The 23,854-nt window shown below is 56.8% G+C and overlaps 2 protein-coding genes across 5 annotated transcripts in view, besides 9 other annotated features; both read right to left on the bottom strand.

Annotated features, from left to right (window-relative positions):
* The window catches only part of PRR12 (proline rich 12), a 35,258-nt gene extending 22,017 nt beyond the window's left edge, over window positions 1-13,241 (bottom strand). Inside the window, exons 1-6 of the mRNA NM_020719.3 lie at window positions 12,683-13,241; window positions 10,984-11,096; window positions 9,808-9,969; window positions 6,410-9,726; window positions 4,485-5,151; window positions 2,505-2,932 (exon numbers count right to left, since the gene is read on the bottom strand). Of these exons, the coding sequence (NP_065770.1) occupies window positions 2,505-2,932; window positions 4,485-5,151; window positions 6,410-9,726; window positions 9,808-9,969; window positions 10,984-11,096; window positions 12,683-12,768 (4,773 nt within the window). The 5' untranslated portion in view covers window positions 12,769-13,241. The remainder of the gene's footprint in view (window positions 1-2,504; window positions 2,933-4,484; window positions 5,152-6,409; window positions 9,727-9,807; window positions 9,970-10,983; window positions 11,097-12,682) is intronic.
* Window positions 10,893-10,992: a silencer, noted in NCBI's record as "silent region_10925". NCBI's record gives its function as "represses an Ori minimal core promoter by ATAC-STARR-seq in GM12878 lymphoblastoid cells {active_cell/tissue: GM12878}" and the evidence as "EXISTENCE:reporter gene assay evidence [ECO:0000049][PMID:35858748]".
* Window positions 11,503-11,582: an enhancer, noted in NCBI's record as "active region_14950". NCBI's record gives its function as "activates an Ori minimal core promoter by ATAC-STARR-seq in GM12878 lymphoblastoid cells {active_cell/tissue: GM12878}" and the evidence as "EXISTENCE:reporter gene assay evidence [ECO:0000049][PMID:35858748]".
* Window positions 12,070-12,569: an enhancer, noted in NCBI's record as "H3K27ac hESC enhancer chr19:50095111-50095610 (GRCh37/hg19 assembly coordinates)". NCBI's record gives its function as "activates a minimal SCP1, AML or CMV promoter by ChIP-STARR-seq in naive H9 embryonic stem cells {active_cell/tissue: H9 hESC(naive)}" and the evidence as "EXISTENCE:reporter gene assay evidence [ECO:0000049][PMID:30033119]".
* Window positions 12,553-12,802: a silencer, noted in NCBI's record as "silent region_10924". NCBI's record gives its function as "represses an Ori minimal core promoter by ATAC-STARR-seq in GM12878 lymphoblastoid cells {active_cell/tissue: GM12878}" and the evidence as "EXISTENCE:reporter gene assay evidence [ECO:0000049][PMID:35858748]".
* Window positions 12,963-13,292: a silencer, noted in NCBI's record as "silent region_10923". NCBI's record gives its function as "represses an Ori minimal core promoter by ATAC-STARR-seq in GM12878 lymphoblastoid cells {active_cell/tissue: GM12878}" and the evidence as "EXISTENCE:reporter gene assay evidence [ECO:0000049][PMID:35858748]".
* On the bottom strand, window positions 13,419-23,806 carry PRRG2 (proline rich and Gla domain 2). Of its 4 annotated transcripts, XM_006723286.2 has the most exons (8): window positions 23,718-23,806; window positions 22,942-23,007; window positions 21,119-21,216; window positions 20,706-20,881; window positions 20,471-20,510; window positions 15,791-15,926; window positions 14,371-14,523; window positions 13,419-14,052 (listed from the first exon to the last, which is right to left on the bottom strand). In XM_006723286.2, exons 3-8 carry the CDS (start codon window positions 21,201-21,203, stop codon window positions 14,034-14,036), a joined length of 609 nt encoding a protein of 202 aa, XP_006723349.1. In that variant the 5' UTR covers window positions 21,204-21,216; window positions 22,942-23,007; window positions 23,718-23,806; the 3' UTR covers window positions 13,419-14,033. The 4 variants fall into 4 exon arrangements, with proteins under 4 accessions (XP_006723349.1, NP_001303264.1, NP_000942.1 ...); NM_001316335.2 differs by lacking the exon at window positions 23,718-23,806 and having other exon boundaries at window positions 20,706-21,048; window positions 22,942-23,107; NM_000951.3 differs by lacking the exon at window positions 23,718-23,806 and having other exon boundaries at window positions 22,942-23,107.
* Window positions 14,153-14,312: a silencer, noted in NCBI's record as "silent region_10922". NCBI's record gives its function as "represses an Ori minimal core promoter by ATAC-STARR-seq in GM12878 lymphoblastoid cells {active_cell/tissue: GM12878}" and the evidence as "EXISTENCE:reporter gene assay evidence [ECO:0000049][PMID:35858748]".
* Window positions 14,323-14,422: a silencer, noted in NCBI's record as "silent region_10921". NCBI's record gives its function as "represses an Ori minimal core promoter by ATAC-STARR-seq in GM12878 lymphoblastoid cells {active_cell/tissue: GM12878}" and the evidence as "EXISTENCE:reporter gene assay evidence [ECO:0000049][PMID:35858748]".
* Window positions 15,637-15,696: an enhancer, noted in NCBI's record as "active region_14949". NCBI's record gives its function as "activates an Ori minimal core promoter by ATAC-STARR-seq in GM12878 lymphoblastoid cells {active_cell/tissue: GM12878}" and the evidence as "EXISTENCE:reporter gene assay evidence [ECO:0000049][PMID:35858748]".
* Window positions 19,190-19,815: an enhancer, noted in NCBI's record as "H3K4me1 hESC enhancer chr19:50087865-50088490 (GRCh37/hg19 assembly coordinates)". NCBI's record gives its function as "activates a minimal SCP1, AML or CMV promoter by ChIP-STARR-seq in naive H9 embryonic stem cells {active_cell/tissue: H9 hESC(naive)}" and the evidence as "EXISTENCE:reporter gene assay evidence [ECO:0000049][PMID:30033119]".
* Window positions 23,807-23,854: the final 48 nt, after the last annotated feature.

The following is a 23,854-nucleotide window of genomic DNA, read 5'->3' as shown; positions in this document are numbered from 1 at the left end:
TACAGGTGTGAGCTACCGCACCTGGCCTACGATGTCAATATCCTTTTTTTTTTTTTTTTGAGACAGTCTCGCTCCCTTGTTTTTGGTAGATGTGAGGTCTTGCTATTTGCCTAGCTGGTCTCAAACTCCTGGCCTCAAGTGAGCCTCTCACCTCAGTCTCTCAAAGTTCTGGGATCACAGGTGTGAGCCACCACTCCCGGCCTGCTCTATTATTTACTTTTCCCACAATGAAATAGATTGAAATAACACAGGAAAAAATACATTTGAGTTTGCCTCAAAAAACACACTTAAGAAGAAAGTGTAAGGCCGGGCGCGGTGGTTCATGCCTGTAATCCCAGCACTTTGGGAGGCCGAGATGGGTGGATCACAAGGTAAGGAGTTCAAGAGCAGCCTGGCCAAGATGCTGAAACCCCTTCTCTACTAAAAATACAAAAATTAGCCAGGTGTGGTGGCACTTGCTGGTAATCCCAGCTACTCAGGAGGCTGAGGCAGGAGAATCGCTTGAACCCGGGCAGCAGAGGTTGCAGTAAGCCGAGATTGCGTCACTGCACTCCAGCCTGGGCGACTCCGTCTCAAAAAAAGAAAAGAAAAGAAAAGAAAAAAGTGTAATGATAGTTATTATCCTTATAATTAATAATTAATTCTTCCCATAATTTCTCCATGTCACATCGAAGATTAAATTAAAACAACATCCAGGACTAAATTATTATTATTATTATTTTTTCGAGATGGAGTCTTGCTCTGGTGCCCAGGTTGGAGTGCAGTGGCACAATCTCAGCTCACTGCAACCTCCCCCCTCCACCCCAGAGTTCAAGTGATCCTCCTTCCTCAGCCTCCCGAGTAGATGGGATCACAGGTGCGCCCTACCACGCCCAGTTAATTTTTTGTATTTTTAGTAAAGACGGGGTTTCACCATGTTGGCCAGGCTGGTCTCAAGCTCCTGACCTCAAGTGATCCACCTGCCTTGGCCTCCCGAAGTGCTGGGATTACAGGCGTGAACCGCCATGCCCCGCCAAGATTAAATGTCACACTGTACACGAAGGGCCAAACAATAATCCTGTATCATAATCAGTACAATCAATGACAATGATTGACATGGAGAATGGCCTTGGCGTCCATGCCACCATCAGGGTGAGAATGGGCTGACCTCCTGAGCACCTGCTCAGCCGCATGCCCTGTGCAGAGCACTCCATGGGCACCTGGTAACACCTACCCCTGTCAAGTGCCTTGCACATTAATCCTCTGATCCAACTCTATTTGTCCAGTGAACCCAGTACAGTAGAGGCCAGCAAACTTTATTCATGATGAGCCAGAGATATTTTTTGCCATTGAGGGCCAGCTAACTACCCAGCTCTCTGCCATATGGGAAAAACAGCCATAGACAACATGTAAATGAATGGGCATGGTTGTGTGCCAATAAAACTTTATTTGCAAAAACAAGCAGTGGGCTGGATTTGGCCTAGGGGCCATAGTTTTCAAGCTCCTGCGGTAGACAAACTGGAAGCAGTGAACAGGCTGTTGGTCTGCATTTACGTATTTAAGTATTTAAGGTAAATATTGAAGCTATGGCCAGCCAGGCACAGTGGCTCACACCTGTAATCCCAGCACTTTGGGAGGCCAAGGCAGGTGGGTCATCTGAGGTCAGGAGTTCGAGACCAGCCTGGCCAACACAGTGAAACCCCATTTCTACTAAAAACACAAAAATCAGCCGGGTGTGGTGGCCTGCGCCTGTAGTCCCAGATAGTTGGGAGGCCAAGTCAAGAGAATCGCTTGAACCTGGGAGGCAGAGGCTGCAGTGAGCCGAGATTGAGCCATCGCACTCCAGCCTGGACAAGAGCGAAACTCCATCTCAAAAAAACAAAAAGATATGGCCTGACACACAATAACCATTCCTAAATGATTCACTTTTTTTGTTTGTTTGAGAGAAAAGGTTTCATTATGTTGCCTAGGCTGGTCTCAAACTCCCAAAGTGCTGAGATTACAGGTGTAAGCTGCCGCGTCCGGCCCAATTCATGATTATATTTACAGGTTACATAAGTGTGTATCTGCAGGTAGTCTATGTCAATGACACATTTCCACCATTGTGCCATAAATGGCAAAGCAGCCCGCCTCTCTGGCTGGTTCCATTAAACTAGAAGCTCCCTAGGGCCAGAGCCTCATCTGCTTGTACAGTACTGGTCCTCTACCACCCACAGCAGGGTATCTGCATAAACATTAACAAGCGGTTCACCTTATATACAGGTAACGCACATATAGACACATACGCGTTAACAATCGCTTTACCTTATATACAGGTAATGCATGTACAGACACAAACGCAAATAACACCTCTGAGGCCCGCAGGTCCTCGACACCTCTATCAGCCCCATAGGACTGCAAATTCCAGGGCGGCCCGGCCACGACTGGATCTGCAGGTCTCAGCACAAGCCTGTCATCCAGCGGGCACTCAACAAACAGGTGACCAAACCCATCAGGCCCAGTTTCTGGAGAAGGCTGGGACTCACCTTGAGGGAAGGGATGTCCTCAGCACGGATGACGAACTCGTCCCGTTCCCGGAAGATGCCCTCTCCGCCACTCTCGCCGGCCTCCTCGTCCGTCTCCCCACACACTGCCGCCGTCTCCTGCTTTTTGGCCAGATGCAGGGGCCGGGTGTCCGGCAGCTCGGGGTCTTCGGGAGACGGGGCGGCGGGCTCCTCAGGAGGAGCAGCCAGTGGGGCAGCGGCTGGTGGGGGTGGTGGTGGAGGCGAGGGCATGGCTGGTGGAGGTGGCGGCGGCAGCGGCGGTGGCGGTGGTGAGCTGGGCGTGGGGGCCACCAGCGGGGGTGGCGAGGGCAGGGCTGGCTGTGGCGGCGGAGGGGGTGGCGGAGGCTGAGGCTGAGGAGTCGGGGCAGGAGGTGGAGTGGGTGGGGGTTTCTCCTCCAGCAGCGGGGGCTCTGGGGGAGACAGGGACATCAGGCCTGGATGTTATTCATCATTCCTGGCACCTTTCCTCTTGTCCTTTAAACACTGCTTTCTATACCAAAAGCCCCTCTGTAACTACCACTCAGCTCCCAGTGTCCCTTCTACCCTATCAGAGTCTCTCCAGAGACCTACTCTGGCTCCTGCGGCTGCAAAGGAGACCTGTCTCCTATCCCTAATCCCCTTCTCAGTCCTGGAATGTCTCTTTGTGGTCTTAAAGCCCTTGTCTGGTTCTTAACTCCTCTTCCTGAATGACCCTCCCAACTCCTAAATCATCACCTCCCTAACTCTACTTCCTCACCTCCTCTTCCTCCAAGGCCTCATCCTCCTCCCTCCAGGACCATCTTTGTCCTTTCCTTGGCCTGCTCACCAGTATGCAGACTGCTAACCTCTCCCCTGTCTGCCAGCTCCCTTCTTCAGGCTTTTTAAGAACCTCACAGAGGGCAGGCATGGTGGCTCATGCCTGTAATCCCAGCACTTTGGGAGGCTGAGGTGGGTGGATCACTTGAGGTCAGGAGTTCGAGACCAGTCTGGCCAACATGGTGAAACCCCGTCTCTACTAAAAATACAAAAATTAGCTGGGCATGGTGGTGCGCGCCTGTAGTCCCAGCTACTCGGGAGGCTGAGGCAGGAGAATCACTTGAACCTGGAAGGCAGAGGTTGCGGTGAGCGGAAGGCAGAGGTTGCAGTGAGCCAAGATCGCACCACTGCACTCCACACTCCAGCCTGGGTGACATAGAGAGACCCTGTCTCAAGAAAAAAAAAAAAGAACGTTATAGGGTCTTTTTGTTTTGTTTTTGGGGTTTTTTGTTTAAGACAGGGTCTTGCTCTGTCACCCAGGCTGGAGTACAGTGGCTCAATCATGGCTCACTGCAGCCTCAACCTCCTGGGCTCAAGCGATCCTCCTGTCTCAGCCTCCCAAAGTGTGCTAGGATTACAGGTGTGGTCCACCATGCCCGGCCTGTCATGGTTTTTTTTTTTTTTTGAACACTCCCCTCTGTGCCCTCCTGTAAGCTCCCACCTCTCATTTCCCAATGCCTCTGTTTCTGACATTACACTCCTTAAACTGTGTCCAAAACCAGAGCACAACCTAAACCCTTCCTATGCCCCTAGCCTTCCCTTCCACCGCCCACCCCCATCCCCAAGTCTTTCTCTGCCCCCAGACATCTTTCTGTACCTTCACACACAGTTGACTCAGAGCCCTCCTCAGTTCCCACACCTCCCACCATTCAGAACCTGAGTAGCCCCTGTCCTGTCCCTGTAACTTATCACCTGCCCTGTCTCCCTGCATTCTCCAGTGTCTGCCTTGGGGCCCCTCCTAGTCCACTTAGCACCTCTGAGTGAATTAGAAAAAGATAGACCTTCCTCAAAATGCTTGTGTAATCAGGAAAGTCCCTTCATAAACACGCAAGCTTACACCATGTATGTGAATGGTGTCTCTTAAACAGTGCGTAACCTGCACAACTGTTACCTAGTGATCATAATAACCTTTAAGCTCTACTCCCAGACCACCTGCCCAGAGCTCACCGGGAGTGCCATTGCTGTTGGCACTGGGGAGCCCCGGAAGAGGGGGTGGCCCTGGAACTGCAGCCGCGGGGGCCAAGGGCGGCCCATCTGGGGTGGAAGTGTCTTTTGGCCCAGCAAGGGGTGGGTCATCGAGGGCAGAGATGGCGGAGGAGATGCTCTCCTGCAGGTCTCGGTTCTTGGCGACAGAGTCTTCCTCATCCGAGGAGAAGGAGGGCAGCGTCTCGAGGTTCCGCTTCAGCTCCTCATCAAGCCGCTTGCAGGGTGAAGGGCAGCCAAGCCCCAGACCCTCACTCTCTGCAGCCTCCAGGGCGCCCCCAAGCCCAAAGGCTCCGGAAGGTGGGGGATGTGGCACAGCAGGGGTGGCAGGGGGCTGGGGCTGCAGGCCTCGGGCTGGCACAGAGGGTGGCACACTCTTGGGAGGGCTGAGCGGAGGCGTCAGGCCCGCCTGGTAGAGTGGTGGGTGGCGCTTGCCTGACTTGAGGAAGTCCAAGAAGGAGGCCATGAAACCCGACTTCATCTCCGGCTGCTTCTCCTCCACCTCCTTAATCTTGGCCTCGATCTTCTCCCGAGTCAGGCTCGAGTCCAGGCTGTTGTGGTCAGTGCCTGATATGGCATCACCCGATGAGGTTCCCAGACCCTCGCCAGCCTTGGGCACAGACAGCTTGATCTAGACATGGGAGTGGCGGGCCGTGAGGGCCCAGTAGCCTGGGCCCCCAGTCCCATCCTCCCTCAGCCCCCAAAAATCCAAATTTACAGGTGCTCAGCCTGTGAATTTATAGAATTCAAACCTGCAGACCCCTTGTCTTAGATTCTAGGAGGACAAGACTGGAGTTCCTCCCTCAGAAGACCAGGAACTTGGACTCACTGAGCCTCTTCACTTACAGCCCAGTTCAGGTCCCTAGACCCGCTTCCCATGAGACCCAGGAATGTAGGATCCCTGAATGCCCATCCTTTGGGATATAGAAACTAAAAGCAAGCAGACCGGGTGAGGTGGCTCGTGCCTGTAATCCCAGCACCTTGGGAGACTGAGGCAGGCAAATCACTTGAGGTCAGGAGTTTCAAACCAGCGTAAGCTCCAACCTCCTGCCTCTCTCCCTAAACCCAGAATTTCCTTTATCTCTTGAGACAGGGTCTCACTCTGTGGCCCAGGCCACAGTGATGCAATCATAGCTCCCTGCAGCCTTGAACTCCTGGGCTCAAGAGATCCTCCCACCTCAACCTCTTGAGTAGCTGGGACTGTAGGTACACGCAGCCACACCTGGCTAAATTTTTGTGTTTTTAATAGAGACCAGGGTCTCACTACGCTGACCAGGCTGGTCTCGAACATCTGGGTTCAAGAGATCCTCCCGCCTCAGTCTCCCAAAGCGCTGGGATTACAGGCATGAACCACACTGCCCAGCCTAGATTCAGAATTTCAATTCTTAGGTCTTTCTGTCAGTGAGACCCTGAAATTCCTCACGCTAACTTCCTCACAGATTTTAGAAATGTAAACCTTATTATCCCCCTGCCCCAAAAATGCCAAGGTGCGGCCATAAACCTGTCCTTTAAGACTCAAAACATCGGGAGGCCGGGCGCGGTGGCTCAGGTCTGTAATCCCAGCACTTTGGGAGGCCGAGGCGGGTGGATCACGAGGCCAGGAGATCGAGACCATCCTGACTAATACGGTGAAACCCCGTCTCTACTAAAAATACAAAAAAACTAGCCGGGCGTGGTGGCGGGCAACTGTAGTCCCAGCTACTCGGGAGGCTGAGGCAGGAGAATGGCGTGAACCCGGGAGGCGGAGCTTGCAGTGAACCGAGATCGTGCCACTGCACTCCAGCCTGGACGACAGAGCGAGACTCTGTCTCAAAAAAAAAAAAAAAAGACTCAAACATCGGACACAGCTCCTCCTCCCCTATCCCCTACAAGACCCCATTTCCCCTCACCTTAAGTGGCTTCAGGGGCTCCAACCGGGTGCCCCCTGCCTCCTCAGCCTTTCGACCCCGGCCTCGGCCCCGGCCCCGGGGTTTCTTGGCGCCATCGGTGGGCGTGGAGGCCGAGGCGGGCCCCGCAGTGGTCGGGACCTCCAGGGGGCGGATCCGGGGCCTCCCCCGTGGCCGGGGTGGCCCATCACGTTTCGCCTTCGTGGGCTTGCGGCCACGGCGCCGGGGGCCATCGGGTCCTGGGTTGGGTGGGCAGAAGTCGATGTCCCCCAGTGGCGAGAGGGCCGGACGGGAGCGGCAGCTGGAGACCAGGTCAGGCAAGCGCCGGGGGTTGAGGCGGATGTCGGCGGGAACATCGGCCTTGTCCTCGTCCGCCTCGAACTCGTACTCCTGGGCGTACAGCTTCTTGGGGGTCTGGAAGGGTGGGTCGCGGCGCCGCAGCAGGTGGAAGGAGGATGTCTTGAGCAGCTTCTTTGGCTTGGTAGAGCAGAAGATGGGCGAGGTGAGGCCACCCTTGGGTTCGGAGGCCGGCGCGGGAGGCGGCGGTGGCGGAGGCGGGGGTGGTGGCGCCGCCTGGTGGGGGCCACTCTGGATCAGGCCCAGCGGCTCGGCGTTGACCGTGGAGGGCAGTTCAGGCGGTTTGTTGGGGTCCAGGCCCAGGCCCGGTGTCTCGGGCCCGGCTCCCGACGCCCGGCCAGGACAGTAGGGCCCATAGGGATCATAAGCAGGGGGGCCGGGGGGTGGCCCAGCGCCAGCCTTGGGGTCCCCCTCGTCCTCAGGTGGCCCGGCCTTGCCGTAGTCGTCCGCGGCCCCTCCACCGAACATCTCCTCCATGGTGGGGAAGAAGCTGCGCTCCTCGTCTTGGAGCAAGGAGTCAGGGAAGCAGATGGAGGTGAGCGGCACGAAACGCGGCGCCTTGGTGCCTTGCGGGCTGGGGCTGCGGTAGGCGCCTGCGGGATCCTTGCCCTCCGAGTTTGGTGGGCCTACGCCAGTATCCCCAGGCGCCGGGGGCAGCGGCTCCAGAGCCCCGAGCAATTCCTGCATGGCGCCTGGCGGATCCAGGCTCTCCTCGGGTCGCAGGCGGGGGCTGGGGGCCGCGGGCTCCAGGCCATGGCTGCGGAGGTGGGCCTCGAGCTGCAGGGGCATGGGTGGTGGAGGCGGGGGTGGCGGTGGAGGTGGCTGGGGTGCCCCATCGCGGGTGGCTGGCTCAAGGAGGTGGACGCCGACTTTGGAGGCGCTGGGAGAGGGACTGGGGGCATGGCTGAGGACCGAGGGGAGCAGCTGGGGGGGAGGCGGAGGCAGCACCAGTGGGAGGTCAGGGCCCCCGGCCTCCAGAAGGAGGCCATGGGGAGTGGGCTGGGTAGACTGGGCCGTGGGAGGTGGGGGCGGAGGGCTCTTTTGCAAGAAGGCCCCCAGCTCCTTGGCGCCTGCCCCGTAGTGGACAACAGAGGTGGCCAGCCCCTCGGGGGTCTCGCCACCCCGCTCTGGCCCTTTCTTCTTCTCCTTCAGCCTCCCCAGGCCCAGCTCCAGTGCCGCAGTGGCACCCTCATCCAGGCTGGCACTGGTGCGGATGACACTCTGCAGGTGGTACCTCTGGGGGTCTTCCTTGGCCAACTCGTAGGGTGTACCCGGTGGTCCCCCGGCCCCGCCACTCCCCCCAAGTCCCTTAGAGGCATCTGCTGCCCCGTCCTCGCCCACCAAGCCGTCCGCCCCTGAGGTCCGAGGAGGGCTGGGCGCCTGCAAGAGGTGCTGGATAAGGAACTCCTCATCCTCTGTGCGCTCCGCAGGAGGCCCACCTGGGCCCGCCAGCAGCTCCGAGCCATCCCCCTTGCCCTTGTAGCCACCTGCTCCGGCTGCATAGCTGCCAGCTCCCGGAGGTGCCAGGAAAGGCGCTGAGGCCAAGACTGAGCTCAGGTATTTGCCAGGGGCTCCTGGAGAGCCGACTCCAGGTGGACGGCCGGTGGCAGGCGGTGACTGGAGCGGACGAATGATGTGAGATGGGCTGGCCTCACCGCCGCCTCCCAGGGAGCTGGGTCCCCAGCCACCCCCATGGCCCGAGAGCGCTGGGGAATGGCCGGTACTGTAGCTGAGCGAGGGGCTGGCTGTGGGCAGCCCCTGGGAGTGGGCGGCTGGCCCTGGGTATGGCTCGCCCTGCACCCCATACAGCTGCCCCTGCAGCTGGTCCGGGGAGTAGCTCTGACATGTGGCCAGGCCAGGAGGAGGGGGGCCGCTGGGGGGCTGTGGGGGGCCCCCTGAGTAGCTGGGGGCTTTGCTCAAGTCCTGTGCCTGCCCCCCTCCAAACCCTTGCCCGTAGGCCTGGGGTCCCAGAAGCCCTTGAGGCTGACCGGGGGAATAAGCCTGGCCCCCTGCCCCTCCAGCCCCAGAGGCCTTCCCAGTGGCATAGGCGGCTGCTGGCCCACCCAGGCTCTGACATTTGGGGGTGGCGGTCGAACGGGGTGGGGGGGGCCTGGTGGCACCCCCGGCAGCTGCTCCATAACCACCTTTGCCCGTCTTGTACCCAGGCGACTGAATGATGGGGCGGTAACCTCCACCACCACCCCCAGCCCCACCGCCCCCTGCTGCCTCAGGGCCCGTGGCCCGGCCAGATGCCCCAGCCGTGGCTCCGCTGGGACCAGCCTTGCTAGGCTCCCCAGCACCCGGGGAGGGCTCCCCACCACCCAGGGGGCTGCAGGCCAGGTTGGCCCGGTGGCCCATGGAGGGGTAGCTGCCTCCACAGCTCAGATAGTGCTGGAGCGCATGGGCTGGTGGCGGGGGTGGTGGGGGCTGGGCACTGGCTGGCCGCTGGTAGTGCTTGATGACCGTGTCCTGGCGTGGCAGGGCCCGCTCAGGCGGCGGTGGGCCCGGGGCAGCACCCGAGAAGTTATAGAGCTGTGGGGAGGACTGCTCGGCAGCGGCGGCGGCAGCGGAAGAGGAAGCCAGCAGGTTGAACTGAGTTGGGAGGTGGCGAGGAGGTGGTGGTGGGTCTGGGGGGCCAGGGCGGTAAGGGGGGGTCTGGGCTGGACCGAGACCAGCTGGCCCCAAGACACCGCCCCCTGCCAGGCGCTCGAAGCCCAGTGAAGAGGGCACCGTGGGTGCCTGCGAGGGCTTCAGGTGCAGCACGTCATGAGGGGACAGGAGCCCGTTAGCTGGAGGGCTGAATGGGGGGTCCTGGAGGCTGAGGGACGAGGGCACTGGGAAGGGGCGGCTGCCGAAGGAAGCCGGGTGTTGGTAAGCCGACAGGGCAGATGAGGACGGAAAGGTGCTGGAACCCGGCAGGGCACCCGAGATGAAGAGCTCCGTGGGGCCTGGCGTGTGCATGGCTGGAGATGAGGAAGACCGCGCGTCAGAGAGAACAGCGAGCCAGTCCCACCCTGGCCCTGCAGGGCCGGCGCTGGGCTTACCTGTTTGCCAGGAAGGACTGCGGAACTGGGAGAGGAGAGAGGAGGCGGAGGGGCCAGGCTGGGGGCCCCGGGATTCCAGGGCCGAGATAAGGTTCATGACGGAGGCGTCGGGCCCTGCTGAGCCCGCGTGGTGGAGGCCAGTGTCGAAGAGTCCAGAGAGGCCTGGCCGGGGACAGGGGTTATAGTCAGCCAGGTGGGGGTGGGTAGGATACAGTCAAGAGAGAAAGGGAAGAGGCCAAAAGCAAGTTGGATCAGGAAAAGGAGGGGATGGGAGAGAAAAGGGCAAATTCAAAAACAAGATGGATAGAACCAAGCTAATGAGACATGAATGAGGGGAGGGAAGGGGGAAAGGTGAGACAGTAAAGCAAGACAAGGGGCAATCCAGTCATAAGGACAGGGGGCCCAGGTAGGAAATGGTAGACAAAAGTGTAGAAAAATCTAGAAGCGAAAGAGCCAGGAGCAAAAGAACAGAGTCCTCAGTAAGGCTGGGAGGGAGACCAAATTTGGATATTTCCAGCAAGGAAGAGGAAAGGATGGGACAATGAAGTCTAAGAAAGACCAGAGAACGTGTCAGAAAGGATTGAGCTAAGTGGGAGGGTTCAGAAAAAAAGATGGGGAGGGAAAAAGGGAAGGAGCCAATCAGGAGGGTCAAGGGTCAAACTGGACAGCATCATGTCATTACCAGTACCCCTAGGAAGAGGGAACCAATCAGAAACCTTGGAGGCAAAGGCAAGGTGGGTAGAATAAGGCAATGGGGCAAAATAAGATAAAACAGGGCGGGCCAGAGAATTAGAGCCAATCAGGAAGAAAGGGAATCAGGAAGAAAGAATTCAGAGTTCCAAAGAGCCAAAAGAATAGGGCAAACCCAGAGGGAAAGAATTGGGGTGGGTTGGGGAGAGGCGGAAAAGCCTGGAAGAGAAGGTGGGATTTGGGGGCTGATGGTAACAGGGCCAATTGGAGCGAAAGGGGAGGGGCGAGGCAGGGGCGGACGAATCCGGCGAGAAATGAAGCAGCGACCAGCAGCCTCAAAGGCAACCAATCAGAGGAGACACAGCAAGGGGCGGGCCACGGCACGGGCCACGGCCAATTAGGAGGGGCGGAACTTTCAACAGCCAATCAGCTGCCTCGGGGGGAGGGGGAGGGCCAGCCCAAAGCGGGGCGGGATGGGGGCCGTACCTGCCGGGTGGTGGTTGGTGGCATAGCTTTGCAGTGGGTGGGGGGCCGCATAGGCCTGGCGGTGTAAGATGTCCGTCTCGGGGTGCGAGGTCCTGGAGCTGCCATAAACCAAGCTGGGGGGAAAGGGGAGACGTCAGGGGGTTCTTCCAAGCTGCCTTCTGAGAAGGAAGCTCAGAAAACCCCCCGGGGAGTTGGGGGGACCCTTCCAGCTGACCGGGGTGGGGGGTGTTAAGCTAAGGAACCGTAGGCCCTAAAGGGGAGAACACAAGGGAATCGGGGTGCTCAACTAAAGAGCCACAGAAATGGCCCCCACTCCAGAGCCCGAATAAAGAGAGCCCGGATAGTCTCACGTTTACAAACAGGCATGCTCAGAGACGAGACTAACACACAGAAGAGGGTCCAAGGCAGAGCAAGCGTCTTGATTTGCAAATGAGAGCCCTCCCCCGTCGACCCCACAAACCCCCCCCAGCCCCCGTTCCGGCGACACAGGCTATGGGGCCAACGCCAGAGGTCCACATGGACGCCTCCTCTTCCGTAGACACACGGGAACACATAGGCCCTGAACTTCATGGGGTGGTGCAGAACAAGTTGGGAGCAGGAGGAAGATCGGTTCCCAAGCGGCAACGGTTTGGGGGGTGGAGAGAAGAGGGAATAAGACCTGGGGAAAGTACCAGGTACAAGTGTGAACAAGAACACCGACCATCCCCGGGGGTTGAGGTTCAAATGCATGGGCCCATGCAATGCCAGGTATGTGTGCAAACGGGTATCCAACTCACCCGTGGGGAAGAAAAGATATAGACGGAGGAATCCCACACGGAAAATCCTGACACACTTGGGGTTATGCCCTGCTGGGAAATCCAGGTGTGTTGGGGGGGAGGTGCTGGGGATAGGTGAAGTGTGAGGGCGCCACACCAATAAGCAACAGGAAAGGGGCAGATTCACAGGTGAACACGCTGCCAGCCACGCACGCACAGGGCCCACGCTCAGACACACAAACACACACCCGGGAAACATCCGACTCTTCCCATGCAACGGCACCAGTCCGTGGCCAGACTCAAGAGGGCAAACGCTCCACTCCTTGCGATCAACTAGGATTCTCTGCCTTTGGGGGTGGGGGCATTAAAGGGGGCGTGTCCCAGACGCCTGACCCCCTCCCTTACACACACACAACCCCAGCTTAGGAAGGGGGCGGGGCCCCGTGCCCACTCTGCGCGCGGAATTCTTGGGGGGGCGCCTAGTGGCGCGGCCTCGCACAGTCCCGGAACAATAGGACCTGAGAGGGGGTTCGCGCCCCCCAGATCTGCGTTCTAATTCTTCTCTTCTTCCCACCTTTGCAAGAGCAGTGCCTGGGGCGCGGGGGGGAGGGGTCACCAAGCCGGGAATCCAAGGATGGGGGGAAGTCCAGGCCTTGCTTCGCCAGTCCCTCCCACCTTCCCAAGGCCTTCCCGTCCGAAATTGTTTTGCACCCCCATTTTCCCGCTGCAATTCTCCCTTTGCATGCCGGAGCTGGCTTTGGCGGAGTTTGCAATTTGCAAACTGGGGCGGCGGCGTTGTTACAAACCGAGGAAGGCCGCTCCCTTGCAAGCCGGAGGGGAGTTTGCGATGCACGCGTCGCCGGGCGGGCCCGGCCCGGCCCGGCCCGGCCCGGCTGGGCTCCCACCCCTTGGCCCCCTTCTCTAGGCCACCCTCAGCTCCTTACCTAGCTTTCGCTGACCTCTCGTAACTCCATCCCGCCCCGGCGCCGAGCGGGTCCCCGAAGCCGGCGCTGGGGTAGTTCCTGTCCATGAATTGGCCGCGGTGGAAATTGGGGGGAGGGGGAGGGAGGGAGGGAGGGAGGGGGCGCGCGCGCGCTCTCCTCCGCCGCCGCTCCCTCCGCTGCTGCTTTTTTTTCCCCCCTTTTCTCTCTCTCTTTTTTTCTTTGCAGCCGCCGAAGGCCCGGGAAGGCCCCGGGCGGGGGAGGGAGGGGGCAGGGGCGGAGGGGCGGGCAAGGGAGGGGGTGCAGTCGCTGAGCCAAGGAAGGGGGAAGGGGGGTTCCCCCTAGAGGAGGGAAGGGGGGAGGAGGGACCCCGCTGTCTCCGCCTTTGCCCCGGCGCTTGCGAGAGAAAAGGGGGGGCGCGCGCTCGGGAGGGGGCGTCCCGGGCGGCCCCGGGGTGGGTGCAGGCGCTGGGTGCTCGCTCTCTCGCCGCCGCCGCCGCCGCCTCCTCCTCCTCTGCGCTCACGGTGCAGCCATCTTTGCACAAGGCGGCTGGGGGAGGGGGGAGGGGAAGGGGGGGCGGGCGGCGGGGTGTCTGGCTGCGCTCCGCTTCCTCCCACAATCCCGTGCAAATGCAAAAAAAAAAAAAAAAAAAGGGAGAGTGAGAGAGAGACTGAGCGCGAGCAGGGCCTGGGGGTGTAGGGCGCGTTTGCACAGAAAACCAGTTCCGATGCGCCCGGGATCGCAGTTCATTTCATTATTATTTTTTGCATTATTTCTGCTTTTTTTGGTCTCCTTTCCGAAGGGTTTTTATTTAGGGGAACAGCTCAACTCCAGCTCCCTGGGTGCAATGCGAGCCTGCCCGCACCGAGCGCGCTTGCAAATATGCCCCCCGCCCTTTCCCTGGGTTACGAAGTGCCCCTGTACCGCACGGGGAGTGCACGAAGACACGCGTGTGCACAGGCGGGGCTCTGCGTGTGCGTACCCTGTGGCACTGGAGGGGGCTGTCAGGTCATATCTGCCCATACACAAGATGGCACAGCCGGGGCTGGGCTCCTGGGTCCGAATTTCCCCGCGCGTCTGCCTACCACGGGGGCGGAACTGACCAGTGCCCTCACGGTCAGGAGAGTGTGGGGGCCCGTGAGGGGCCAGGACACGGGAACACGTTGCCGAAAACATGTGTATATCCATACGCGGCGGAAACGCGTGTGCCAGGGCAGGCCTCGGGCCGGATGACCCCTACTCCCACCATTCCCCACTCCAAGTCCAGCTTCGGCGTCTATGAGGCCTAGCGGCTTCCGGAATCCGGTATGAATCAGGGGCACGGTTCGGAGAGCCGGGTCTCGAAAGCAGCTCTTCAGTGAGGCCTCCTGAGGCTGCAAGAGGAAAGGCACACTAGGGAGTCAAAGATCTGGCTGTTTTTCTCCCCCCTTCAACCAGGACCACTCCGACCGCCCTTGGCGTCTCAGCCAATCCAGGACCCTCTGGGCACAGGCCCCACCCTCCTATACGGCTCCACACATACAACGCTGGGCCACGCCCCTAGACCATTGCATGGGGCCCCGCCCCCGCACTCCAAGCCCCGCCCCAGGTAAGAAGGCCCAAATTCCAAGTCCCGCCCCTGAGCCCAGGTTCCTCCTCCAACGTGCCCACCCCTCTGCGCCCCGCCCCCGGGCAGAAGCCACGCCCCATACCTGGTGTAGGGGGGTGGAGGTGCGTCGTGTACCCCAGAGGCTGCCAGCGCCTGCTCATAGGTGGGGAGGCCTGGGGGTGGGGGTGGGGGTGGAGGCAGGGGCGTCGGTGGGCCCAGAGGGTTCAAAGGACTCAGAGGGCTAATGAGCCCGGCCCTGGGGACAGCAAAGGTACAGTTAGCAGAGGCAACTTACAGGATACCTAGACTAGGGAGGAAGAGAGGGGATCTAGGAGACGGAGACTCAGGGTGACACTGGGACAGAGCTGGAAGGGAGGTGGACTTCAGAAAAGGAGGGTCACCTTCAGCCTAGCCTTACACACAGAAAAGCGCCTCAAATGACAGGCAGCTGCACACAGACAGGTAGACACAGAAATCAGCAACCACAGAGACACACTCTTATTCAGACACACTCATGTGCACCAGATACAGGCAGAGCAATAGAGAAAAAGACAGCCCTGCCGGGTGCATGGCGCACACCTGTAGCTCTAGTTCCTCAGGAGGCTGAGGTGGGAGGATTTCTTGAGCCCAGGAAATTGAGGCTGCAGTGAACTGTGAACCGGCCACTGCACTCCAACATGGGCAACAGAGTGAGACTTTGTCTTTTTTTAAAAAAAAAAAAAAAAAAAAGGGCCAGGCGTGGTGGCTCACACCTGTAATCCCAGCACTTTGGGAGGCCAAGGCGGGCAGATCACCTGAGGTCAGGAGTTCGAAACCAGCCTGACCAACATAGAGAAACCCATCTCTACTAAAAATACAAAATTAGCTGGGCGTAGTGGAGTGCGCCTATAATCCCAGCTACACTGGAGGCTGAGGCAGGAGAATCACTTGAACCCGGGAGGCAGAGGTTGCAGTGAGCCAAGATCATGCCATTGCACTCCAGCCTGGGCAATGAGAGTGAAACTCCATCTCAAAAAAAAAAAAAAAAAAAAAGACAGCCCTGTAGAGAGGCAGGCCAACACACACCAAACAGACAGAACTCAGCCCATCCATATAGACAGGAACACAACACAGACGCACTCCTCACCAATTTCCCACACCCACTCAGGTGCTGCACCTGTTACCACTGAAACTGACATACCACAGACACCAAGACACCACAGGCTGCACCGTCGCAGCCTCACCAGATACAATATCCAGAGTCGTAATTCCACGGATACTGGTAATCTCAGTACCGCAAAGACAGGCTGGCAGCAAAAGTGGTCAGAGCTCCTACTGCGGGCCAGGTACTGAGGATCCAGACAGAGCGACAGTCGCCAAAACCAGACACAAGCCAGCTCACAGACTCACTCTCCAAATGACTGTGTCCTTAGGTCTTTCATCAGTGCCTGCCTGCCCCCAATCCTTAGCACATCCCTTTAGGTCAATGCTTCCTCCCTCCCCTGCTCTCCACCACCACCCCCTCCTCGCTGAAGCCCCCTTACTCTTGGGGACAGGGCTGCTGGCCTCGGTGCTGTCGCCAGCGCAGATACCAAAAGGCTCCCAGGCCGGCCAGGACAATGAGCAGGATGCCACCTGTCAGCCCCACAGCCAGGCTGGCCACATCCACTCGTCCACGCCCTGCAGGAAAGTAGGGAAGGGGAGACACTGTCTCGGGGACTGCCACCCACCCCAACATCAAAATTCCTTCCCACTGAGGGAAGAGAATGGACCCGGAAGCAGGCAGAGCTGGGGTCCCTTCCTAGCCCTGTGACCTCAGGAAATTCACCTCATTCCTTTCTCTGACCCTCCACTGCCAGTTCTGTAAAATGGGAACCATAACCCCTACCCCACTGTAAAAACCTAATGAGATTAGGCTGGATGTAGTGGCTCATGCCTGTAATCCCAGCACTTGGGAGGCCTAGGCAGGTGGATCGTTTGAGGTCAGGAGCTCAAGACCAGCCTGGCCAACATGGTGAAACCCTGTCTCTACTAAAAATACAAAAAAATTAGCCAGGCATGGTGGTATATGCCTGTAATCCCAGTTATCTGGGAGGCTGACACAGGAGAATCGCTTGAACTCAGGAGGTGGATGTTTTAGTGAGCCGAGATTGAGCCATTGCTCTCCAGCCAGGGCAACAAGAGTGAGACTTCATCTCAAAATAAAAAAAAACAAAACAAACAAACAAACAAAAACCAAAAAAACAAAACTATGTCCTGGCCAGGTGTGGTAGCTCATGCCTATAATCCCAGAACATTGGGAGGCTGAGGCAGGCAGATCACTTGAGGTCAGGAGTTTGAGACCAGCCCGGCCAATGTGGTGAAACCCCATCTCTACAAAAATTACAAAATTAGCCAGGCGCGGTGGCTCACGCCTGTAATCCCAGCACTTTGGGAGGCCGAGGTGGGTGGGTCACCTGAGGTCAGGAGTTCGAGACCAGCCTGGCCAACATGGAGAAACCCTGTCTCTACTAAAAATACAAAATTATCCAGGCACGGTGGCGCATGCCTATAATTCCAGCTACTTGGGAGGCTGAGGCAGGCGAATGACTTGAACCCAGGAGGCAGATGTTTTAGTGAGCCGAGATTGCGCTATTGCACTCCAGCCTGGGCAACAAGAGTGAAACTCTGTCTCAAAAAAAAAAAAAAAAAAAAAAATTAACCAGGCTTGGTGGTTCTTGCCTGTAGTCCCAGCTACTCGGAAGGATGAGGCAGGAGGATCGCTTGAGCCGGGGAGATTGTGCCACTCACTGCCCTCCAGGCTGGATGACAGAGAGAGACTCTGTCGCCCTCAAAAAAAAAAAAAAAAAAAAGGATGTCACATGTACTACTTGGAATACGCTTTTAAAATTATTCATTGTAGCTAGGCACAGTGGCTCACAGCTGTAATTTCAGAACTTTGGGAGGCTAAGGCAGGAAGATCACTTGAGCCCAGCCTGGGCAACATAGGGAGGCTCTACCAAAAAAAAAAAGAAAATTTTTTTTTTTTTGAGACAGGGTCTGACTCTGTATGGAGTGCAGTGGCACAATCGCGGCTTACTGCCACTTGGTCTCCAGGGTTCAGGCGATCCTCCCACCTCTGCCTCCTGAGTAGCTGGGACCACAGGTGTGTGCCACCATGCCTGGCTAATTTTTGTGTTTTTGTAATTTTTTGTATTTTTTGCCCAGGTTGGCCTCAAACTCCTAGGCTCAAGCAATCCACCAATCTCTACCTCCCAAAGTTCTGGGATTACAGGCATGAGCCATCACTGAGCCTGGGGAAAAAATGTTGGTTTTTTGTTTTGTTTTGAGACGGAGTCTTGCTCTGTCACCAGGCTGGCGTGCAGTGGCGCAATCTCGGCTCACCGCAACCTCCGCCTCCCAGGTTCAAGCAATTCTCCTGCCTCAGCCTCCCAAGTAGCTGGGACTACAGGTGTGCACCACCACATCCAGCTAATTTTTATATTTTTAGTAGAGACGGGGTTTCACTATGTTGGCCAGGATGATCTCGATCTCTTGACCTCGTGATCCACCCGCCTTGGCCTCCCAAAGTGCTGGGATTACAGGCGTGAGCCACCTCACCCAGCTGGAAAAAAATGTTTTTAATAGCTGGGTGTGGTGCTACAGGTACCTGTAGTCCCAGCTACTTGGGAGGCTGAGGAAGAAGAGTCACTTGACCCAAGGAGGTCAAGGCTACAGTGAGCCAGGATCACTCCACTATACTCCAGCCTGGGTGACTGGACCCTGTCTCTAAAAAAAAAAAAAAAAAAATGGCCGGGCTTGGTGGCTCACACTTGTAATTCCAGCACTTTGGAGGCCAAGGCAGGAGGATCACTGGAGCCTAGGAGGTCGAGAGCAGCGTAGACAACACAGCACAGTGAGACCCCCATCTCTACAAAAAAAATTTTAAGTATCTGGGCGTGGTGGTGCATGCCTGTAATCCCAGCTACTCAGGAGGCTTAGGTGGGAGGATCACTTGAGCCTAGGAGGTCGAGGCTGCAGTGAGTCGTCATCGTGCCACTGCACTCCAGCTTGGGTGACAAAATGACCCCATTTCCTTGTTTTTTTTTTTTTTTTTTTTTTTTTGGAGACACTCTGTTGCCCAGGCTGGAGAGCAGTGGTGTGATCTTGGCTCACTGCAACCTCCAGCTCCTGGGTTCAAACGATTCTCCTGCCTCAGCCTCCCCAATAGCTGGGATTACAGCCACGTGCCACCATGCCCAGCTAATTTCTGTATCTTTAGTAGAGATGGGGTTTCACCATGTTGACCAGACTGGTCTCAAACTCCTGAACTCAGGTGATCTGCTTGCCTCGGCCTCCCAAAGTGCTTGGATTACAGGTGTGAGCCACCGCGCCCAGCCATTTGTTTGTTTTTGAGACATCTCCCAGGCTGGAGTGCAATGGTGCGATCTCTGCTCACTGCAAACTCTGCCTCCCAGCTGCAGCGATTCTTGTGCCTCAGCCGCCTGAGTAGCTGGAATTATAGGCACACATCACCACACCTGGCTAATTTTTGTATTTTTAGTAGAGATGGGTTTCACCATGTTGGCCAGGCTGATCTCGAACTCCTGAACCTCAGGTGATCCGCCTGCCTTGGCCTCCCAAAGTGCTGAGATTACAGGCATGAGCCACCACATCTGACCACAGTAAACCCCCAGACTTTTGAGCCCCTTTAGCAAAAGGCGCAAGTGCAGCTTCAGAAGGCAGGTCCTCCTGAATTGGGCACCTTCAGGTAGATTCGAGGAGCCACTACGCCTCGCTAGGCCTGTCAGGAAAGAGTTACCTCCCCTAGCAACCAGGCTCCAATGTGAGACTCCAGCCCAGACCTAGGCCTGTTGCTAAGGTGCAGCTACCCCTAGCAACCGGGCCACAAGGGGGTGGGGCATCGGAGGCCCGGAGGGTGGTCCTCCAGTGGGCAGAAGGCCTTGGGTCCTGGAGCCTGGCTAGGTGTGGTTGCTAGGGAGAAGGCCTCCTTAGCAACCAGGCAGCTGCTGGGATGGGGCTGTGGGGGAGGGGAAATCAGCCAGGTACTGCTTCAGGCTTCTTCGTCTGGTCTGGCCTGGCCAGGCCCCGTTGCTAAGGAGCAGCCCCCCTTAGCAACAAGGCTGGCAACAAGATGGGAACAAGATGGCAACCCCTCAGAGAAGGGGTTCTTGGGGGCAAAATGGGCAGGTGAGGATGGGCAGGCTTCCTCCCTTGGTCGTGTTGCTAGAGGGCTGTGTCCCCAGCAATCAAGCTGCCGGAGGGGCTGGTCTTTCCACTTACTCTGGACACCAGGGAAGGGTTCAGGTGGGCCTGCCCCTCTGAGCCTAAGGCCTGACGGGCCCCACAGCTCTAACCTTTCCCTCCACTGACACTTTTCCCTTCCTAGGGACACAGGACTTGCGTCCAATAAGATGTGGTGGGGGGCCTGGCACCTATAATCTCAGCAGTCTGGGACACTGAAGCAGAAGGATTGCTTGAGGCCAGGCATTCAAGACCAGCCTGGGCCACATAGTGAGACCCCGTCTGTACAAAAACTACAAAAATTACCATGGTAATGTGTGCCTGGAGTCCCAATTACTCAGGAGGCTGAGGTGGGAAGATCGCTTGAGCCCGGGAGGTTGAGGCTGCAGTGAGCCAAGATTGTACCACAGCACTCCAGCCTGGGTGACACAGCGAGACCCTGTCTCAAAAATAAATAATTAAAGGCCTGGCGCGGTGGCTCACGCCTGTAATCCCAGCACTTTGGGAGGCCGAGGCGGGCAGATCACGATGCCAGGAGATCAACACCATCCTGGCTAACACGGTGAAACCCCGTCTCTACTAAAAATACAAAAAATTAGCCGGGTGTGGTGGTGGGTGCCTGTAGTCCCAGCTACTCGGGAGGCTGAGGCAGGAGAATGGCGTGAACCCGGGAGGCGGAGCTTGCAGTGAGCCGAGATCGCACCATTGCACTCCGGCCTGGGCAACAGAGCGAGACTCTGTCTCAAAAAAAAAAAAAAAGCAAAAATAAATATTTAAAAATAAAATAAGGTGTGGGGGGCTCCTCAGGCAAGCTGGGGTCTTAAGGGAGGGAACTCCTTTAGCAGCCAGCTTCAGAGAGCACAGAATTGGGGGGCAGACGATTCTTGTACCTAATTTGGGGTGGAGGACGTTGGTTTGGCCTCGCTGGGAAGGGACTACCTTAGCTGCACAGAACAAGATGGCTTCAGCCCCTCACTCACCTCCTTTGCCATTGTAGATGTAGCTCTCCCAAAAGCGCTCCTTGAGGGGGAAGGAGTGGAAAAGAAGGGGAAAAAGCAGGAATTCAGCTGGGAGGTTCACACCCCCAAACTAGCCCATCCTGATTTCTGAGACACCAAGGAGGAGGGAGCTGAAGGCCAGAACCTACCCCTGCAACCTCCCCACAGGTATAGAGAAGAGAGAGGGCCCGAAACTCCAGGGTCTCGAGGCCCTCACCGTGAGAGTGTTGTCCTCAAAATACTCCCTGGCCTCTTCCCAGGAACACCTCTCTTCCAGACACTCCCGTTCCAGGTTCCCTGGTGTGAGCAGCTCCAGGTCCCAGTGGTTGGCTCTTGGAATCCGGGTATGGCTACTCAGGAAGCTCTGGGCCTCTGGGGGACCCAGGAAGACTTCTGGACCCAAAGACATGAGGGACAGAAAAATGGAGGGTCCCTAGGGCTGGAGTCATAGGGGGATGGAAAGCAGTGGGGTCCTGGAGGAAGGAGCAGGGGCTGGGAATCCAGATTCCTGGGTCTGAAGGAGGAAGGGGCTGGGTCCTGGACTCCTGGAAGAGGAAGGACTAGAAACATTCCTGAGTCAGGGGGAGGCCAACGCCAAGTGTCTGGATGCCACTTCCCCCAAACACTCACCTTGGTCTGTCTCCTCACTGGGTGAAGTATCCAGGCAGGTGGTTAATGCCATATATAGCAGCAGCAGAGAGGGGTGGCCCCTCATATTTTCCAGACACCTAGAACCAGGTTTGTTACAGCTGACAAGGGCCTTAGTCCCTGGGTAATGAGGCAGTGCCTCTCTGACTGGCCTCTGTGGTCCACGAATGGCAATAATAGCAGCCACTTACACAGCCTGTATTCTGTGCCAGATACTGTTTACCTATATAAACTCATTTTACTTTTTTTTTTTTTTGACATGGAGTCTCGCTCTGTCAGCCAGGCTGGAGTGCAGTGGCACAGTCTCAGCTCACTGCAACCTCTGTGTCCTGGGTTCAAGCGATTCTCGTGCCTCAGCCTACCAAGTAGCTGGGATTACAGGCATGCGCCACCACACCCGCTAATTTTCTTTTTTTTTTGAGACAGAGTCTCGCTCTGTCACCCAGGCTAGAGTGCATTGGTGTGATCTCCGCTCACTGCACACTCCACCCCCCAGGTTCATGCCATTCTCCTGCCTCAGCCTCCCGAGTAGCTGGGACTACAGGTGCCGGCCACCATGCCCGGCTAATTTTTTTGTATTTTTAGTAGAGATGGGGTTTCACTGTGTTAGTCAGGATGGTCTCGATCTCCTGACCTCGTGATCTGCCCGCCTCAGCCTCCCAAAGTGAATTTTCATATTTTTAGTAGAGATGGGGTTTCACCATGTTGGCCAGGCTGGTCTTGAATTCCTGACCTCAAGTGATCTGCCTGCCTCAGCCTCCCAAAGTGCTGGTGCTGGGATTACAGGCGTGAGCCACTGTGCCCGGCCTCAACTCATTTTACTTTTCACAGGAGTCATACAAAAATTAGCCAGGCGTGGTTGTGGGCGCCTGTAATCCCAACTACTTGGGAGGCTGAGCCAGAATAATCACTTGAAAGGGGAGACAGAGGTTGCAGTGAGCCGAGACTGTGCCACTGCACTCCAGCCTGGGTGACAGAGCGAGATTCCATGTCAAAAACAAAACAAAACAAAACTTTTCACAGGAGTTTTTTTTTTTTTTTTTTTTTAGACAGAGTCTCGCTCTGTCACCCAGGCTGGAGTGCAGTGGCGCTATCTCAGCTCACTGTGACCTCTGCCTCCTGGGTTCAAGCGATTCTCCTGACTCAGCCTCCCGGGTAGTTGAGATTACAGGTGCGCACCACCACGCCTGGCTAATTTTTTGTATTTTTAGTAGAGATGGGGTTTCACCATGTTGGCCAGGCTGGTCTCAAACTCCTGACCTCAAGTGATCCACCCGCCTCGGCCTCCCAAAGTGCTGGGATTACAGGTGTGAGCCACTGCGCCCGACCAGGAGTCCTATTATTATCCCCAGTATAGAGAACAGGAAACTGAGGCACAGAGAGGTAATATAGCTTGCCGAAGGTCACACAGTGTGCAAGTGTGAGAGCCAGGATTTCAGTGAAGGCAGTGTCCGCCAGAGAAGAAAGCAAGGAGCAGGCAGCTTATCTTTCTTTCCCCACTGTGTCTACAGCACCTGACACAGATGCTTATAAACATGTCCACTGGTGATCTGGAGTCTTCCCTTCCTGGTAATTTCCACTTGTGCCTCTTTCTGTGCTCATTGTCACATCCACCCACAGACAACAAAGATTACGAGAGAGGCAGAGGCAGGGGATTAGTTATATTATTGGGTCTAGGGACCTAAGTGGGCAGGGGCCCTGGACTCCTGGGCCTAGGAGCCCCAAACTTCTGGGTCTCGGAGGGGCGGGGAGCCAGGATGCCTGGGTCCCCAAGCCAGGCTCTTCCTCCAGGGACATTCACTTACCTGCCCAGAAATGTGAGCACTGCCCCTTCCTCTTTAATCGAGAACTCCTTGGCCAGCTACAGCCAGCTGTGAAAGGGGACAGGGAAGAGGGGAGGGGATAAGGAGGAGGGGCGCCCCACTCCCGGTAACCAGGCCTGATCCCCGTTTCTGGCAGGTGGGCGGAACTTGCCATTACCTGCCCTGGGCGGGACTCAGGTAAGGGACAAAGTATTTAAAGGGACCTTGGGATAAAGGACTTAAAGGCCAGAGCTCCATGAGGAAGCCAAGGTGTCGAATACCATGGGATACCTGGGGGATTAGATTCGACCCTCCTCCTCCCTCCCGACCCCTACCCGCTCTGGCTCTCCCCTGGGAGTTCGTCTGTCCGAGCTAGAAAAATTAATATCTAGGTCTCTAGGTATCTAGAAACTAGCGGGAACGATATGCCTTAGTCCCTGGGACAGCTGGGCAGTGCCGCAGTAAATCCCTGTTTCCTGAGAGCGACTTGAACGGCTTTGATTTTCAATTTCCCAATGGCTCTGTCTGTAAAATGGGAGCGTAGTTGTCTCTTCTCAATTGTTTTAAGATGCAGCAAGAAAAGTGGATGATATATTTGGGAAAGTGGGCTTCCCGATCTCTAGGGGAAGTGATTAGTCCTTAAATTTGGGCTTGGAGAGACTCAAAACCTGGGAACCAAGCAGGAAAAAACGATCTCCCTGGGAAATGCCTCGTACATAGTAAGCGTTCCCCATATTCCCACCAGTTTCAATATCCGGAACTTTCGATTAGCTACTCACGTTTCCGGAGAGAGAAAGAGAAGAGAGGACTTGAGCAAGCCAGGCGAGGCACTTCCGCAACTAGGGGCAGCTCTACTTCCGGTGCCTTCTGCTGGGCGGAAGTGGGCGGAGCGGAGGGGGAAAATAGTGCTCCTTTC

This window comes from Homo sapiens, chromosome 19 (genome assembly GCF_000001405.40).
Source record: "Homo sapiens chromosome 19, GRCh38.p14 Primary Assembly".
Lineage (NCBI taxonomy): Eukaryota > Metazoa > Chordata > Mammalia > Primates > Hominidae > Homo > Homo sapiens.
Note: the sequence above shows the minus strand (reverse complement) of the source record. Positions and strands in the feature narration are given on the sequence as shown.

Coding starts and splice junctions, on each gene's coding strand:
- PRRG2 (XM_006723286.2), bottom strand. CDS start 21,203: ATGAGGGGCCACCCCTCTCTGCTGCTGCTATATATGGCATTAACCACC. Junction 20,511..20,705: donor TTGAGGACAACACTCTCACG/GTGAGGGCCTCG, acceptor TTCCCCCTCAAG/GAGCGCTTTTGGGAGAGCTA. Junction 15,927..20,470: donor CATCTACAATGGCAAAGGAG/GTGAGTGAGGGG, acceptor ACTTTCCTGCAG/GGCGTGGACGAGTGGATGTG.